Raw genomic sequence first — 16,083 nt, 5'->3', positions numbered from 1 at the left:
GATGGATGGTGATATGAATATATATAATTACATAAAAGATAAATTAAAAACTTTCAGCTATGAGAAAATGGAGAACGGACAAGGACAACTGGAACCTTCTCCCAACCCACATACTGCGAAATTGAGAGGGAGAAGGTGATGCATCCAAGAAACTGACATAAAGCCTGTGAGAAACCCCTGGGGAGATAGAAGATGTGAAGGTAAACATCAGCAGAGAGCATGAGAGTGCATGGGTCCACACACAGGATAATTCAGGGAAGGACTTTTGAGTTGTGTAACTACTTTGCCTTCAGAGAGCATGGCTTTCTTGGCCAGGACAGTGAGGTGGGAAAACAGCAGCATCACCCCAGTGACAGCCATAGGACCAACGAACAGCAGGATGGCACACAAGTGCAGAGACAATGGGGACAAGATAACACTAGGCGGGCAGACCAGCTGGTCACTGAAAACCTTCCCACCTCCCCGACCTTCTCAGGTCCTCCCACACCCACTCTGCAGGATAGAAGAGTTACAGCAGAGGAAGGCAGAACTTGGAAAAGAGCAGGGGTGGAAATGAAGAGAGGCTCTCTAAGGTGCAGGGCTGCCTGGCTGGGGTGGGAAAAGGGCTGGGCTCAAGCCTAGATGGTGAAGGCAGAACTTCTCTGCCCTGAGGTCCTTGCCTGCCCTTCCCTAAACCCTAGCTAAGACCAGGCTTTAGCTTCCCTCTGCCCATCCCCTTCCCCACAACCTCTAAACAGTGACATACAGAAAGGTGATAGCCCCCACAGGAAATGTATATTCATACATTCAAAAGAAAAATAGCTAGACATTTGGAGAATGCAGTCACTAAAAAATAAAAGCAACAAACTGAACCACCTATAAGACAGAAAGCAGAATTATGAATAGGAAATAATAAGAATGTCAAATAAATGTAATAGACATTACAAAAATAAAATGGATTTTTACTCATAACATGAAGGACAAGCAGTTTTTAAAGAATAACCAATGAGAAATGCTAGATTATGAAAAACATAAGTATTGAGGAAAAATAATAGCAGCCCTCACTTACTATAGACTTGGCATTGTTCTAAACACTTTACATGAATCAGATCATTTAATCCTCAAAAAACCAATTCTATAAGCTTAGTATTATCTCCATTCTATAGATAAAGAAACTGAAGGAATTCGTGAAGCATTATTATTAACATTTACCCTGTGCTTTAACAGATAGGTTAAATAGTAGAATATATGTGACTAAAAAACAAAATAGTATTTTTTTTTTTTCTTGAGACAGAGTCTCGCTGTGTCACCCAGGCTGGAGGGCAATGGTGTGATCTCGGTTCACTGCAATCTCTGCTTCCTGGGTTCAAGCAATTCTCCTGTCTCAGCCTCCCAAGTAGTTGGGATTATAGGTGCTTGCCACCGCACCTGGCTAAGTTTTTTGCATTTTTAGTAGAGACCGGGTTTCGCCATGTTGGCCAGGCTGGTCTCAAACTCCTGACCTCAGGTGATCCACCTGCCTCGGCCACCCGAAGTGCTGGAATTACAGGCAAGAGCCACCGCACCTGGCCCAAAGTAGTGATCTTAAAGATCCAATTAAAGAAACTGAAAATTCCAACAAACAAGAAAAAGCAGGGTGACGAAGAAAACGGAGGTAGAAGCATCAACACTTGTAATATTAGAAGTCTCTGAAGGAGAAGAAAATAAGATCTTTGAAGAAATAATGGCTGAGAAATTTCCCATTATTAAAGAACAATTGAAGAGCATAGAATGAAAGGGTTCACAGTCTTCCAAATATGATTTCTAAAGAAAAAACACACCTAGTCACATTTGTGTGACATTTAAGAACATCAAAGCCAATAAGAACAACAAAAAACCTTCTAAAAACTTCCATTTAAAAAGAACATATCTCTAAAGGAACAAGAAACAAATTACTATAATCTTCTTTCTCAAAGCATCAACATTAGATTCAAGAAGACAATGAATTAATATTTTCAAAGTATTGTAAGAAAAGAACTCTGAGCCTAGATTTTTAGATTCATCTAAGTTATTTAGTATCACAAAGAAATAAAAATATTCTCAACTATATAAGTTCTCAAAAGTTTTTACCACAAGAATACTATCTTTCAAAATGCCCTAGAAGGAAGTAATCCAGCAAGAAAAGAAATAAATGCAAGATGTTATTATATAATATGTTGAAATTGAGGTACACAATATCATAATTTTAATCTTGTATGCAAAGCCACAACCATAAAAACACCCCAAAAACATTTAAGACTATCCTAATGCAAAAAGGCAGACACCAATATGATGATAGGTATGGTAGGAAGGAGGAAGCAGATGGAGGTGAGAATAAGTGAGTAGACAGAAGTTCTGATAAACCTATGCATGTTAAAAAGTTAGGGACAATTGGCCGGGCATGGTGGCTCACTCCTGTAATCCCAGCACTTTGGGAGGCTGAGGCTGGCAGATCACTTGAGGTCAGGAGTTCAAGACCAGTCTGGCCAACATGGTGAAACCCCGTCTCTACTAAAAATACAAAAATTAGCTGGACGTGGTGGTGCATGCCTGTAATTCTGCTACTCAGGAGGCTGAGGCACGAGAGTCGCTTGAACCCGGCAGGCGGAGGTTGCAGTGAGCCAAGATCGTGCCACTGCACTCCAGCCTGAACGACAGAGCAAGACTCTATTTCAAAAAAAAAAAAAAAAAAAAGTTAGGGACAGGCACAATCACCAGCAGGATAGAGATAGAATGTGTAACTCTCAAACGACGCTAAAGAAATTAAGGAGAAATCATGATTATCTCAATAGTTGTAGAAATATTCTGATAAAGGTCAGCACCTATTTATGACATTAAAAAACTCAGAAAACTTGATATTACCAAAGGATATGTACCAAAAACCTATAGAAAACATTATCTAGAATACCTTATTTTTAAGACTGAGATTTCTCACTGTCACTACTATCTGACTGTAAAGGGCCTGCATGCCATGCTAAGGAAGGTGAACTTATGCAGGCATTAAAGAATATTAAGCAAGAGAATGACATAAGCTGATTTGAGGATGAGAAAGAGCTCTCCTGTGCACTGTGCAAGATGGATTAGAAGGGGAAAGACTAATGACATGGGACCACGCAGGGAATTATTCTAATCAGAGAGATGAGAAAAGATGAGATCCTGAGTGAAGTAATCAAGATGCTGACAAGGTCCCAAGGATTTGAGAGATCTTAGGAGGTGAAATTGAAAGGATGTGATAGTATTTCTGACATTTACATTAGAAAGTGGGTGAGGGAGACCAATCACGATTAACTGAGTTTTTGATTCACATAGTTTTAGTTTGGATGAACTGATGCCATATATAGATATTATAGAACATAGAAAAGCAGTCCCAGAAAAAAAGTCTTCTTTGAAATGCTGAAATTGAACTATTTATATAGCATGAAGTGGGAATGTCTAAGAATCCCTTGGAAACATAATTTAGTACTGAGAGCAGTTTGGTCTGAAATTATATGCTTGGAAGTAATCACTAATAGGCATATATAACAGGAAGAAAATGAGAAGGCCAAATATGGAAATCTACTGATATCAGCTCTTAGGGGGAAAAAATAAGTTAGGGAAAGAACACATAGGCAGATAGGAAAATGAATGGTGTGGCAGAATTCAAGGTAGTAGAGAGCTTTGTTTTGTTTTGTTTTGCTTTGTTTTTGAGACAAGGTCTTACTTTGTCACCCAGGCTGGAGTGCAGTGGTATAATCATGGCTCACTGCAGCCTCAAACTCCTGGGCTCGGGTTATTCTCCCACCTCAGCCCCCCAAGTAGCTGAGACTAACAGGTGCACACGACTAAGTCTAGCTAACTTTTTGTAGAGACAGGGCTTCACCATGTTTCCCAGACTAGTCTCGAGTTCCTGGGCTCAAACAATCCTCCCACCTTGGCCTCCCAAAGTGCTTGGATTACTGGCGTGAGCCACTGTGCCCAGCCAGTAGAAGGTTTTAAATGTTGCGAAGGGACCAACCAATAAAAGATTGAAATGTAGTCACTAGATCTGAATATTTAAAAACCCCTGTTAACTTAATGAGAACAGATTCACTTGAACAGTGGAGGAGAAACTACATTGCATTAGACTTGAGAGGGAAATGGAAAATTAAGAAATGGTGACAATAAGTGAGGCCTAATTCTTCAGGCAACCGGTTGCATGGTTATAAAGCCCAGTATCTTTTGCTGTGCAGAAGCTCTTTAGTTTAATTAGATCCCATTTGTCTATTTTGCTTTTGTTGCCATTGCTTTTGGTGTTTTAGTCATGAAGTCTTTGCCCATGCCTATGTCCTGAATGGTATTGCCTAGGTTTTCTTCTAGGGCATTAAAAGAAACTACCATCAGAGTGAATAGACAACCTACAGAATGGGAGAAAATTTTTGCAGTCTACCCATGTGACAAAGGGCTAATATATCCAGAATCTACAAAGAACTTAAACAAATTTACAAGAAAAAAACAACCCCATCAAAAAGTGGGCAAAGGGTATGAACAGACAACAAATGTCTTCTTCTCAAAAGAAGACATTTATGCAGTCAACAGACACATGAAAAAATGCTCATCATCACTGGTCATCAGAGAAATGCAAATCAAAACCACAGTGAGATATCATTTCACACCAGTTAGAATGGCGATCATTAAAAAGTCAGGAAACAACAGATGCTAGAGAGGATGTGGAGAAATAGGAACGCTTTTACACTGTTGGTGGGAGTGTAAATTAGTTCAACCATTGTGGAAGACAGTGTGGCGATTCCTCAAGGATCTAGAACCTAGAAATACCATTTGACCCAGCTATTCCATTACTGGATATATACCCAAAGGATTATCAATCATGCTATTATAAAGACACATGCACACATATATTTATTGCGGCACTATTCACAATAGCAAAGACTTGGAACCAACCCAAATGTCCATCAATGATAGACTGGATTAAGAAAATGTGGCACATATACACCATGGAATACTACGCAGCCATAAAAAAGGATGAGTTCATGTCCTTTGCAGGGACATGCATGAAGCTGGAAACCATCATTCTCAGAAAACTATTACAAGGACAGAAAACCAAACACCGCATGTTCTCACTCATAGGTGGGAACTGAACAATGAGAACACATGGACACAGGATGGGGAACATCACACACCAGGGCCTGTCGCGGGGTAGGGGGCTGGGGGATTGATAGCATTGGGAGAAATGCCCAGTGTAATGACGAGTTGATGGGTGCAGCAAACCAACATGGCACATGTATACCTATGTAATTGGCTGAGTACTCAATAGTCTTCCTTGCTTTGGCATTAGCCTACATCCAAGCATCCTCATATTCACTCTGCAACCAGACCACTTACCACTCCTCAAGCACTGTATGAGTAGTTTCTGTTCCACCTAGAGTGACTACTCACTTTCCCTCTTTGGGGTTGCCAGATGCAGCAAGTAAAAACACAGAATGTGCAGTTAAATTTTAAGTTCGGATAAACAATGAATGATATTTTAGTACAAGTATCTCATGCAAAAATCTGTATTTCTGTGGCAATCCTATTCACTTCTCATCAACACAAGTCAATATCTCATCCATTCGTTGTCACACTCAAATGTCACCTTCAGCATAAAGTCTTTCCCAATTCCTTCAAAAATGTATTCCTTCATTCAATTAACAAATATTTACTATGCTAAGTACTAGGGTAAAAACTGTGAAGAAGGTATAGTCTCCATCTCCAAGGATCCTCCAGGCTAAAGAAGTAGAGAAGAATGAGTAGACAGTTACTATAAAGAAGGAAGTACAATGTGCCACATAAGCAAAAAGGCACGTATTTTCCTCTACTTGTGAAAACTTCTTGAATAAAGAGGCGGCTGGGTGCGGTGGCTCACGCCTGTAATCACAGCACTTTGGGAGGCTGAGGCGGGCAGATCACCTGAGGTCAGGAGTTCGAGATCAGCCTGGCCAACATGGCAACACCCTGTCTCTACTAAAAATACAACAATTAGCCAGGCATGGTGGCATGTGCCTGTAGTCTCAGCTACTCGGGAGACTGAGGCAGGAGAATTGCTTGAACCCAGGAGGCAGAGGCTGCAGTGAGCTGAGATTGTGCCACTGCACTCCAGCCTGGGTGAAAGAGTGAAACTCCATTTCAAAATTTAAAAAAAAAGAAAAGAAAAAGAAAAAGGAGGCATGTTACACTCAAAATTTATAACACAAGAGGAACTCAATATTTGCTGAATAAATGAAATTCCTTCAAAAATTTCTCAAGATAAATACACTTTACTAAACACAATTTCTTTTTTTGGTAATGACTTCTGGCTTGACTTAACAAGGAAACCATTTAGCTAACCTTTTTTAAAAAAAAGGAAAAGTCTTCAGTGTGATGGAAATGCAATGATGGTGCAATCGACAATCAATTACTTTGGCTAGACTGGATAGATTAAAATAGTATTAGAATTTTCTATACTCTAAAAAAAGAGACAGAAAGAGAAAAAACTTACCACACGTTGAGCCGCTATCAATGCTGCTAATGTACTTCGCCCTGGCGCTCCAGGAGCACAGAAGGAAACCTGGACTTTGCTGCCCTTGATGGTCATACCGTCTGCTGCCTGCTGGACCTCTTCAGCCTGCTCCGCAGTGCTATATTCAACCACTGCAAAGCCACCAACGTAACTACCTTCATCCTGTGCAAGCTGATACAATACATTCTATTAAACAGTAATTCCGATCTTTACTTAGAAACATTTATTTACGATATATAATTTTCAAATTCAAGAACAAGTGCATTGGAGCATGATACTGGTGGAAATAACATATTCTTTCTTTATGAAAATGTTTACTAATTGCTTAGATGTAGTTCTTCTTGAAGACAGGAAGATAGGAGTCTGTCAAGTTTCTATTCAATTCTTTAATTTTCTAATTTATTTTAACAGTAAAAGCCCAGATGGTAATAGTCTCTATATATTAAGAAATATATAAACTGGTAATTTATAGGAAAACATGAGGACACAATAATTATAGCTTTCCTTAAAAGAAAATCACCAGGTACATGGACAGTGAAACATACTGAACAAATTATTTGACCACACATCAATGGAAAATAAAGTTAGTATTATCAAGAGAAGGTAGGAGGAATATTTCATTTTTATTTCACTATTTTAGGCAGATCCCAGGAATTTAGTCAAGTATACCCAGGCAAACCTTATTTAGGAAAACTGTGTCCCAGGTTTATTATAAGCAACACACAACTTTTATTTCTGAATGTGCCCTAAATAAACTCCTGCCATGTAGAACTTGATTTATTTCCAGTCACCCACCTGTAAGAGTGTAATGGAAGATACTAAAGTCCTGGATCTGAAAAGACTGGTACAAAGAGCAAAAATAAGAACAAGATAAGACACTAAAACCTTTCTAGGTTTTGAACACGTCTGAATTATCTTAAATACATTCATGCTATAAAGTGATAAATGACACAAAATTCAGCTTAGTATATCTTTGAGAAGACACATTTCCAATACTTCTATTTGGGTGTGGCATCTCATAAGCTGATATTACAACTAAATCACTTCTTAGTCCTTCTCAGTTTCTTTTCTCTTGTTTTTGAAGCTTAACTTTCTTCTACTTCCTTGTATATTTAGATCAAATTTCTATCTTTTCCTTCACATTACTTCTTCCTTTAAAAACTGTCAACAAATATCTTTTCCTCCACAAAGCTTTTTCCAGTCACACAGGAAAAGGAAAAACATCTACCTCTTCTAAACATGTCTCCAACAACCCTATTCCTCTTATAATCCAAACCAGTTCTTAAAATCAGGTTTGTAAAAGCCACTAATTAATCATTTTGGTCTCTTGACCACAAGTTAAGAGGCTGTGTCTTTAATACAGTCTATGCCAATCTACCATGCAAAAGAGCCTGAGGTTAACAGACCCACTGATAAAGAGCCATCCCAAAGCTGCTTTATTAATCTTTTGAAAACTTAAAAATTTTTTTTTACTATTCTATTTCATTATAATGATCTTCATGCCTGTATAAATTATAATATTTTAAGTCTTTCAAAAAACAAAATCATTTTAAGTCCACGGCATCAGTAGTTTCAGAGAGGGCTATTTCAGTTCAATATGAGAGCCATTCAAAAACACAATGGTCTGACTTGTGATGTAGTTAATTTTCCACTCTTTTGAAGTATTTTGGCAGAAGCTAAATGGTCACTCAAAAATATGGTAGCAAATATTTTCTATGACATGTAAAGCTATACTAGATAATCTCTAAGGGCTCTTCCAACTCGGGGGGGTTCACAATTCAAATACAATTTATGATAAATGGCTTTTCTCTTCGCATCTGCTTCAAAGGCCTCAAATAAAGGCCACAGGATGACAACATAATATAATTCTTAGTATTCAAGAAGAACATATCAATAAGCCAATCCTAGAGCTTTGGGAGGCCAAGGCAGGAGGATCACTTGAGCCCAGGTGTTTGAGAGCAGCCTGGCAATATAGCAGGACCCAGTCTCTACCAAAAAAAAAAAAAAATTAAAAAGTAGTTGGGCATAGTAATGTGGACTTGTAGTCCTAGCTACTTGGGAGGCTGAGACAAGAAGATCGCTTGAACCTAGGAGTGTGGGACTACTGTGGGCCATGATTCCAGCCTGGGCAATAGAGAAAGACCCTGTCTCAAAAAAAAAATGTTAAAAATATATATTACTGCAAAATTTCACCCATGTGCGGAAGCTTAAAAAGGTGATCTCAAAGAAGTATAGTGGATACTAGGGGCTGGGGTGATTTGTGTGGGAGCTTGTGGAGATATGGTCAAAAGATGCAACATTTCAGTTAGATAAGAGAAATAGGTTCAAAAGATCTTTTGGACAACATGATGACTACAGTTAATAACAACATATTGTATTCTTGAAAAATGCTACGAGAGTGGATGTTAAGTGTTCTTACCACAAAAATGATAACTATGTGAGGTAATACATATGTTAAATAGCTTGATTTAGCCATTCTACAATGTATATATACTTCAAAACATGTTATACATGATAAATACAATTTTAACTGTCAACTTAAATAATATATATTTTAATATATATTTAATATTAAATAATATATTTATTTATATACATATATAGATATGTACTCCAACTCCAAAATTTCTACTGCAATACTAGGAAATCAACAAATGTATGATTAAAGAAAAGATGCAAAGGAGGAGAGGAAACAACAGAGGTAAGAGGAAAAGGAGCGTGGATGGGAAGGGAGTGCGGTAAAAAGGAAAACGGAGAAGGAAGAAATGGAGAGAAACAAGAGAGAAATAATTGATCAGTTGCTATCAAAACTCTGTAAGGAAAAGTGTTATATATAGTATATATATATATATTTATTAGAATGTATTTAATTTTACTATGATAAAGTGCTTGAAAAGTCTCGCCAGTGTTATCAGTTTTCAGGATCTTCTCTAGATGTCTCACCTACCGTGACCACATTAAGATAGAACTACACATTCCTTTTAAACTTCATAGTACTTTTCTATCCTCCATTATATCACTCTTCATATAGGATTTGCAATTATTTGCTTACTTGTCCGTCTCTTCTACAAAATTGTGAGGTATTGAGATAGAGTATCTTTCCATTCTCTGCCTTTCTGACACTTGGCATAGTGTCTGGTACACAGAAGATGGTAAATAAAAGTTGGATAGATAAATGGATTGATGGAAAAATGGTGGGACGAATGGATGGAATGAGGTGAATGAGTAAGCAATGGATTTGCTAAGGCATACTTAACTACATAACAACATACTTTGGCCCATAAACAGAGGAACTGATTTAAAATTTCCCATGAGATCAAAGTCTTCCCTACAGAATGATGCAGAATTAAATTTCCATTGTGTTAATCACACAGGTATGATAAATTTGTGAGTGTATGTAGATTAGATACATATGTATATATTTTAAAATATTTCAATAATCTCTTAAAAATACATACCTGGCAAAACACAGGTTTATGGACACTGGAAAAAATTTGCAACAGCTCTTCTGAATCCCTGTAGTCACTGGGGAGTTTATCAATACAAAGGCACTTAGAATGAATGAGCTCTGAAGCCAATAGATTAACATCCATCCATTGTGCAAAGAGTGCTGATGCTCCCAACTGTCTACCCAATAGCTCCAGTCTAGCCTTTGCAGCAAAGTCCTTTTTCATGTATTCCACAAATCCATAGCCTTTGGAATGGCCAGTAACTTCACTATAGACCAGAAAACATCTCTCAATATTTCCATAAGCACGAACAAGTTCTTCAAACTCTTCTGATGTAAAAGAAATGGGCACGTTGGTAATACACAACAAAGCATCTGTTGGCTGAAGCTGGACTATTAAGTCTTTTCCTCTAAAAGAATATTGATGAAACATCTGAATTGCGTTCTGGGCTTGTTCCCCATTCAATAAGGTAACAAAAGCTGGAAGATAACGAAATGAATTAAAGAGTTTTCAAATTGTTTGAAAACACAGTAAGAAATATATCTTACTTCTGTGACTTGGTACACATAAACATACACCTTTTTTCTGAAACAAAATTATAAGTTAATACCCCTACTATATGCAATGCATTGTGACATTTTTTATTCTATTTCAGTGCGTTTTTTAATGCTGACACCTCCATTAAACTAATTTCATCAACAGTAACCCAAAATAGAAAGTACAGGGATTATATTAGGAGTTTCACTGTAAAATCCTATGATATTCTGGGGGGTTTTTGGTAGTCTTTTCCAATCACACACATATTTGATTTCCTCCCACCCAAAAACCTGTGATATAAAATTTTATGAAGACTTTATATAAAACTTAACTGAAATAAAAATGAAGTTACAAAATCTTTCTTTCTTCCTAGAAAGAGTTCTAAAAGAGCCTATTTGACAGCAAGGACCTGAAAAAATGAAGGTACAGCAAAAACATCAAAATGCATAAAGGAGGCCATTTCTTTCTCCAATTCATGTATATATTTCCTTAATATCAGATTAGATTGACATAACACACAGACACTTTTAATTTGGTACACTTTTGATGAATAATATCAAATGAAAAGGTTACAGGATTCTGATCTTAAGACAAGATCTTGAATATTCATAAAACAATAAAAATAGTCTGCCCTGTCTAGCTAATGAAGTTGTTCCAGCATCAAGCAACAAATGCATATGACGGCTTATATAACTGGAAACATAATACAAATATAACATTCTAAATCAATGAAATATTATGTACATTCATATCTGGTAAAATTACATTTTAACCATATCAATTTGTTTACCTTTTGCAATAAAAGAATATAAAAGGTTTTGAGCAATTTTATAGGAAAAGTTTAAAGCCCCCATTAAAAAATACATAGCAATCCACAAATTACAAATAAATTGCTCTCTACAAGTTCCTCTCCCTCTCCCTCTGAAATATATAGTGAAGTTACTCCATATGAACATTTAATTTACCCAAATTCAATTAGAACTGCATGACAATATGTTGTATACAGCAAATATGGATATAGCAAGAGACAGAGAAGTAATTTAAGTAGCATGGGCAATTCTGCCTGTCATTTCACTAAACTTCTCTGCCCTCAATTGGTCTTAGTGCCATGCGGCTCTCAGAGTAAGAGCATCTCACCACACTAAGTGTGATGCTAACATTTAAAGAAACACATTTTTCATTTAACACATGTCCCACACGCAAGAAAACTATTGCCAAAGGAACAGCTAACTGTTCCAACATCTCTTCCAAAAAATGAGAAAAAATGGCTTTACTGCCCTTATTAAAAGGCTATCTCTTAGTTTCTAACAATCTTTTTTAAAAGGCTTGATTTTGATTCTATGTCTTTTTTCCTTATGCTGACATAAAATACAATTTAATTCTGTTTCCCTAAAACAAACGAGCCAACAACAGTTTGTAAATACTGGTTATATTCTCGTATCAGCCCATAAAATCTCAGGTCATATTTAACTTGAATTCTCAGGGCATTTGAACCTGTTAATCATTCCCTTTCTTAACTTTCTTTCCTTTTTTTTTTTTTTTTTTGAGACAAGAGTCTGACTCTGTTGCCCAGGCTGGAGTGCAGTGGTGCCGATCTCAGCTCATCACAACCTCTGCCTCCCAGGTTCAAGCAATTCTCTTGCTTCAGCCTCTCAAGTAGCTGGGACTACAGGGCCTGCCACCACGCCTGGCTAATTTTTGTATTTTTAGTAGAGATGGGGTTGCGCCATGTTGGTCAAGCTGGTCTCGAACTCCTGACCTCAAGTGATCCACCAACCTCAACCTCCCAAAGTGCTGGGATTATAGGCCTGAGCCACTGCACCAGGCCTTTCTTAACTTTCTTGATGTACTCTTTCTTGATTTGCTTCATAACTGTCCAAGCTCTTTCTTCTATTTCCTTTGCTAGCTCTTTCTCCTCCACTCACAGCTGTAAGGTAGTACTCCTTGGGGTGCCTTCCTGGCAGAGTCACACACAGTAACACCTGTGTGGCCACATGTGTTACTCAATGTGTGGCCGCTGAATATCTTTTTTCGCACTCTACACCCTCTTCCTCTGGGGGCAATCACACCCATTCCCATGTATTCCGTATCATGTGCCAGATTCCAAGTTTGGCACTGGAAATGTTTTGGTGAACAGAACAGGTAAGATCCCTTTCAACACAGAGCTCACAATCTAATAGGGGAAGCTAGACATTTAACAAAGAGTTACAAATGTGGTGTCCCCAAAGGGGAAGTATGAGGGGCTATGAAAGCAATGAGCAAAATAATCTCATCTGAGGACTTGCAAAAGGCCTCCCATACCATTATACTCCCCAATCTATCTTTCTAACCTTTAGTGCCACATATATCTTCATATTGACTCCCAAACATAACTCACGATTTTCATCCTATCTCTGCCAAAAAACAAAACGATTAGGAAAAGAGGAAGTCAAATTCTCTCTGTTTGCAGATGACATGATTGTATATTTAGAAAACCCCATCATCTCAGCCCACAATCTCCTTAAGCTGATAAGCAACTTCAGCAACGTCTCAGGATACAAAATCAATGTGGGAAAATCACAAGCGTTCCTATACACCAATAACAGACAAACAGAGAGCCAAATCATGAGGAAACTCCCATTCACAATTCCTACAAAGAGAATAAAATACCTAGGAATACAATTTACAAGGGATGTGAAGGACCCCTTCAAGGAAAACTACAAACCACTGCTCAATGAAATAAGAGAGGACACAAACAAATGGAAAAACATTCCATGCTCATGGATAGGAAGAATCAATATCGTAAAAATGGCCATACTGCCCAAAGTAATTTATAGATTCAATGCTATCCCCATCAAACTACCAATGACTTTCTTCACAGAATTGGAAAAAACTACTTTAAATTTCATATGGAACCAAAAAAGAGCCAACACAGCCAAGACAATCCTAAGCAAAGAGAACAAAGCTGGAGGCATCAGGCTACCTGACTTCAAACTACACTACAAGGCCACAGTAGCCAAAACAGCATGGTACTGGTACCAAAACAGATACACAGACCAATGGAACAGAACAGAGGCCTCAGAAATAACACCACACATCTACAACCATCTGATCTTTGACAAACCTGCCAAAACAAGCGATGGGGAAAGGATTCCCTATTTAAGAAAGGGATTGGGAAAACTGGCTAGCCATAAGCAGAAAGCTGAAACTGGATCCCTTTCTTACACCTTATACAAAAATTAACTCAAGGTGGATTAAAGACTTAAACGTAAGACCTAAAACCATAAAAACCCTAGAAGAAAACCTAGGCAATACCATTCAGGACATAGGCATGGGCAAAGACTTCATGACTAAAACACCAAAAGCAATGGCAACAAAAGCCAAAATTGACAAATGGGGTCTAATTAAACTAAAGAGCTTCTGCACAGCAAAAGATTATCAGCAGAGTGAATAGGCAACGTACAGAACGGGAGAAAATTTTTGCAATCTATCCATCTGACAAAGGGCTAATATATCCAGAATCTACAAAAAACTCAAACAAATTTACAAGAAAAAAACAACCCCATCAAAAAGTGGGCAAAGGGTATGAACAGACACTTCTCAAAAGAAGACATTTATGCAGCCAACAGACACATGAAAAAATGCTCATCATCACTGGTCATCAGAGAAATGCAAATCAAAACCACAATGAGATACCATCTCACACCAGTTAGAATGGCGATCATTAAAAAGTCAGGAAACAACAGATGCTGGAGAGAATGTGGAGAAATAAGAATGCTTTTACACTGTTGGTGGGAGTGTAAATTAGTTCAACCACTGTGGAATACAGTGTGGCGATTCCTCAAGGATCTAGAACTAGTAATATCATTTAACCTAGCTATCCCATTACTGGGTATATACCCAAAGGATTATAAATCATTCTACTATAAAGACACATGTGCACGTATGTTTATTGCAGCACTATTTACAATAGCAAAGACTTGGATCCAACCCAAATGTCCAACAATGATAGACTGGATTAAGAAAATGTGGCACATATACACCATGGAATACTATGCAGCCATAAAAAAGGATGAGTTCATGTCCTTTGCAGGGACATGGATGAAGCTGGAAACCATCATTCTCAGCAAACACAAGAATAGAAAACCAAACACCACATGTTCTCACTGATAAGTGGGAGCTGAACAATGAGAACAAATGGACACAGGGAGGGGAACATCACACACTGGGGCCTGTCGGGGGGTGTAGCGGGGGAGGGATAGCATTAGGAGAAATACCTAATGTAGATGACGGGTTGATGGGTGCAGCAAACCACCATGGCACATGTATATCTATGTAACAAACCTGCACGTTCTGCACATTTACCCCAGAACTTTAAGTATATTAAAAAAAAATCCTAATACTTCTCATCTTCCTTTATTCCCTATTTTAGCTGGTCACACAACACCCAGAAATTGGAAACCTGGGAATTAACCTAGACTCTGTCTCCCTCATTTCCCATATAAAAGGAATCCTCAAATTCCACCCGTCTAATAGGTCTTGAATCCATCCCCCTTTCTTCAGTCCTCTAGCTTTTTCTTTTTTTAATCCTTTCTCCACAGTGACAATAAAGTGATCTCTAAAAAACAGAAGTTTAATTGTGCCTGTTTACTGCCTTAAATGCAAAGGTTTGCTATTACTCACAAAAAAAGCCAAGTGCCAGATTGGTAATCATGCTCTACAATGCCTGCTATATCTAACTCCAGCCTTGTTAACTGCCATACTTCCTCCCTTCCCCAACAGCTCTTTATTCTCCAAGAACACTGAAATATTTGTAGCTCCCTGTAGAGATCCAGTTATTTCAGGTATCCATATATTACACATTTAATTCCCTTGCCTATAAGATCACTCCCCATACCTTAGGATACCTAGAACCTTTTAGCTGATTTTCAAATTCGTCCATGCATTACTCCATCATGATCTCCAGGAAGCTTCCCTGATCCTCTCTTAGAGTTAACCATTCTTTATTTTTTTATACCTCTCTATCTTGAACATTGCTCGGATTATTGCATAGATCACATCACATCGTAATCTATTTGCTTAGATGCCTGCTACCCTACTAAACTGTGAGCTCCCTAATTCCACCAACTATCATGGTGCATGACATATGGTAGAAGCTTTGTGTTAGATGAATGAATAAATAAATGCATATATAAATCAACTAATAATTTAAAAACTGAAAATCTCTTTGTCCTTTTCTTAGGTATCTGCATTTGCTCAACTTAGGTTTTATGGAAGAATTTAAATAACATAATGAAACAAATTTAAAAGTTCAGACAGTAGGGAAAGGAGGTCACATTTTCTGTTCTATAGCTTCTTCCATGTTTTTCCAAGGCCACGAATTCTCTAAAATAATAAAAAATAAAAAAATTCACATACTAGTTCTCATAGAAATGGTAGATGTCACTCTACAGAGAAAAGGCTGTAAGGGAATTTGGGATTAATTACATTACCATTTTCCTTGTGAAATTTAAATATCCCACAATTGATCCCAATTCTTTTAAAAGTCATTGCATGGTCTACTATTTAGTTTATTATTGGGTCTAATTTGAAGGCAAGCATGTGCCAAAA

At 37.7% G+C, this 16,083-nt stretch overlaps 1 protein-coding gene across 3 annotated transcripts in view; it reads right to left on the bottom strand.

Annotated features, from left to right (window-relative positions):
* The window catches only part of RAVER2 (ribonucleoprotein, PTB binding 2), an 88,158-nt gene that overhangs the window by 45,174 nt on the left and 26,901 nt on the right, over window positions 1-16,083 (bottom strand). For all 3 annotated transcript variants that reach the window (NM_001366165.2, NM_018211.4, XM_011541706.3), the window contains exons 3-4: window positions 9,967-10,436; window positions 6,488-6,679 (exon numbers count right to left, since the gene is read on the bottom strand). In NM_001366165.2, the coding sequence (NP_001353094.1) occupies window positions 6,488-6,679; window positions 9,967-10,436 (662 nt within the window). The remainder of the gene's footprint in view (window positions 1-6,487; window positions 6,680-9,966; window positions 10,437-16,083) is intronic.

The sequence above is a fragment of the Homo sapiens genome, chromosome 1 (genome assembly GCF_000001405.40).
Source record: "Homo sapiens chromosome 1, GRCh38.p14 Primary Assembly".
In the NCBI taxonomy this organism is placed as follows: domain Eukaryota; kingdom Metazoa; phylum Chordata; class Mammalia; order Primates; family Hominidae; genus Homo; species Homo sapiens.
The sequence above is the reverse complement of the archived record's forward strand: the minus strand, read 5'-3'. Positions and strand labels throughout refer to the sequence as shown.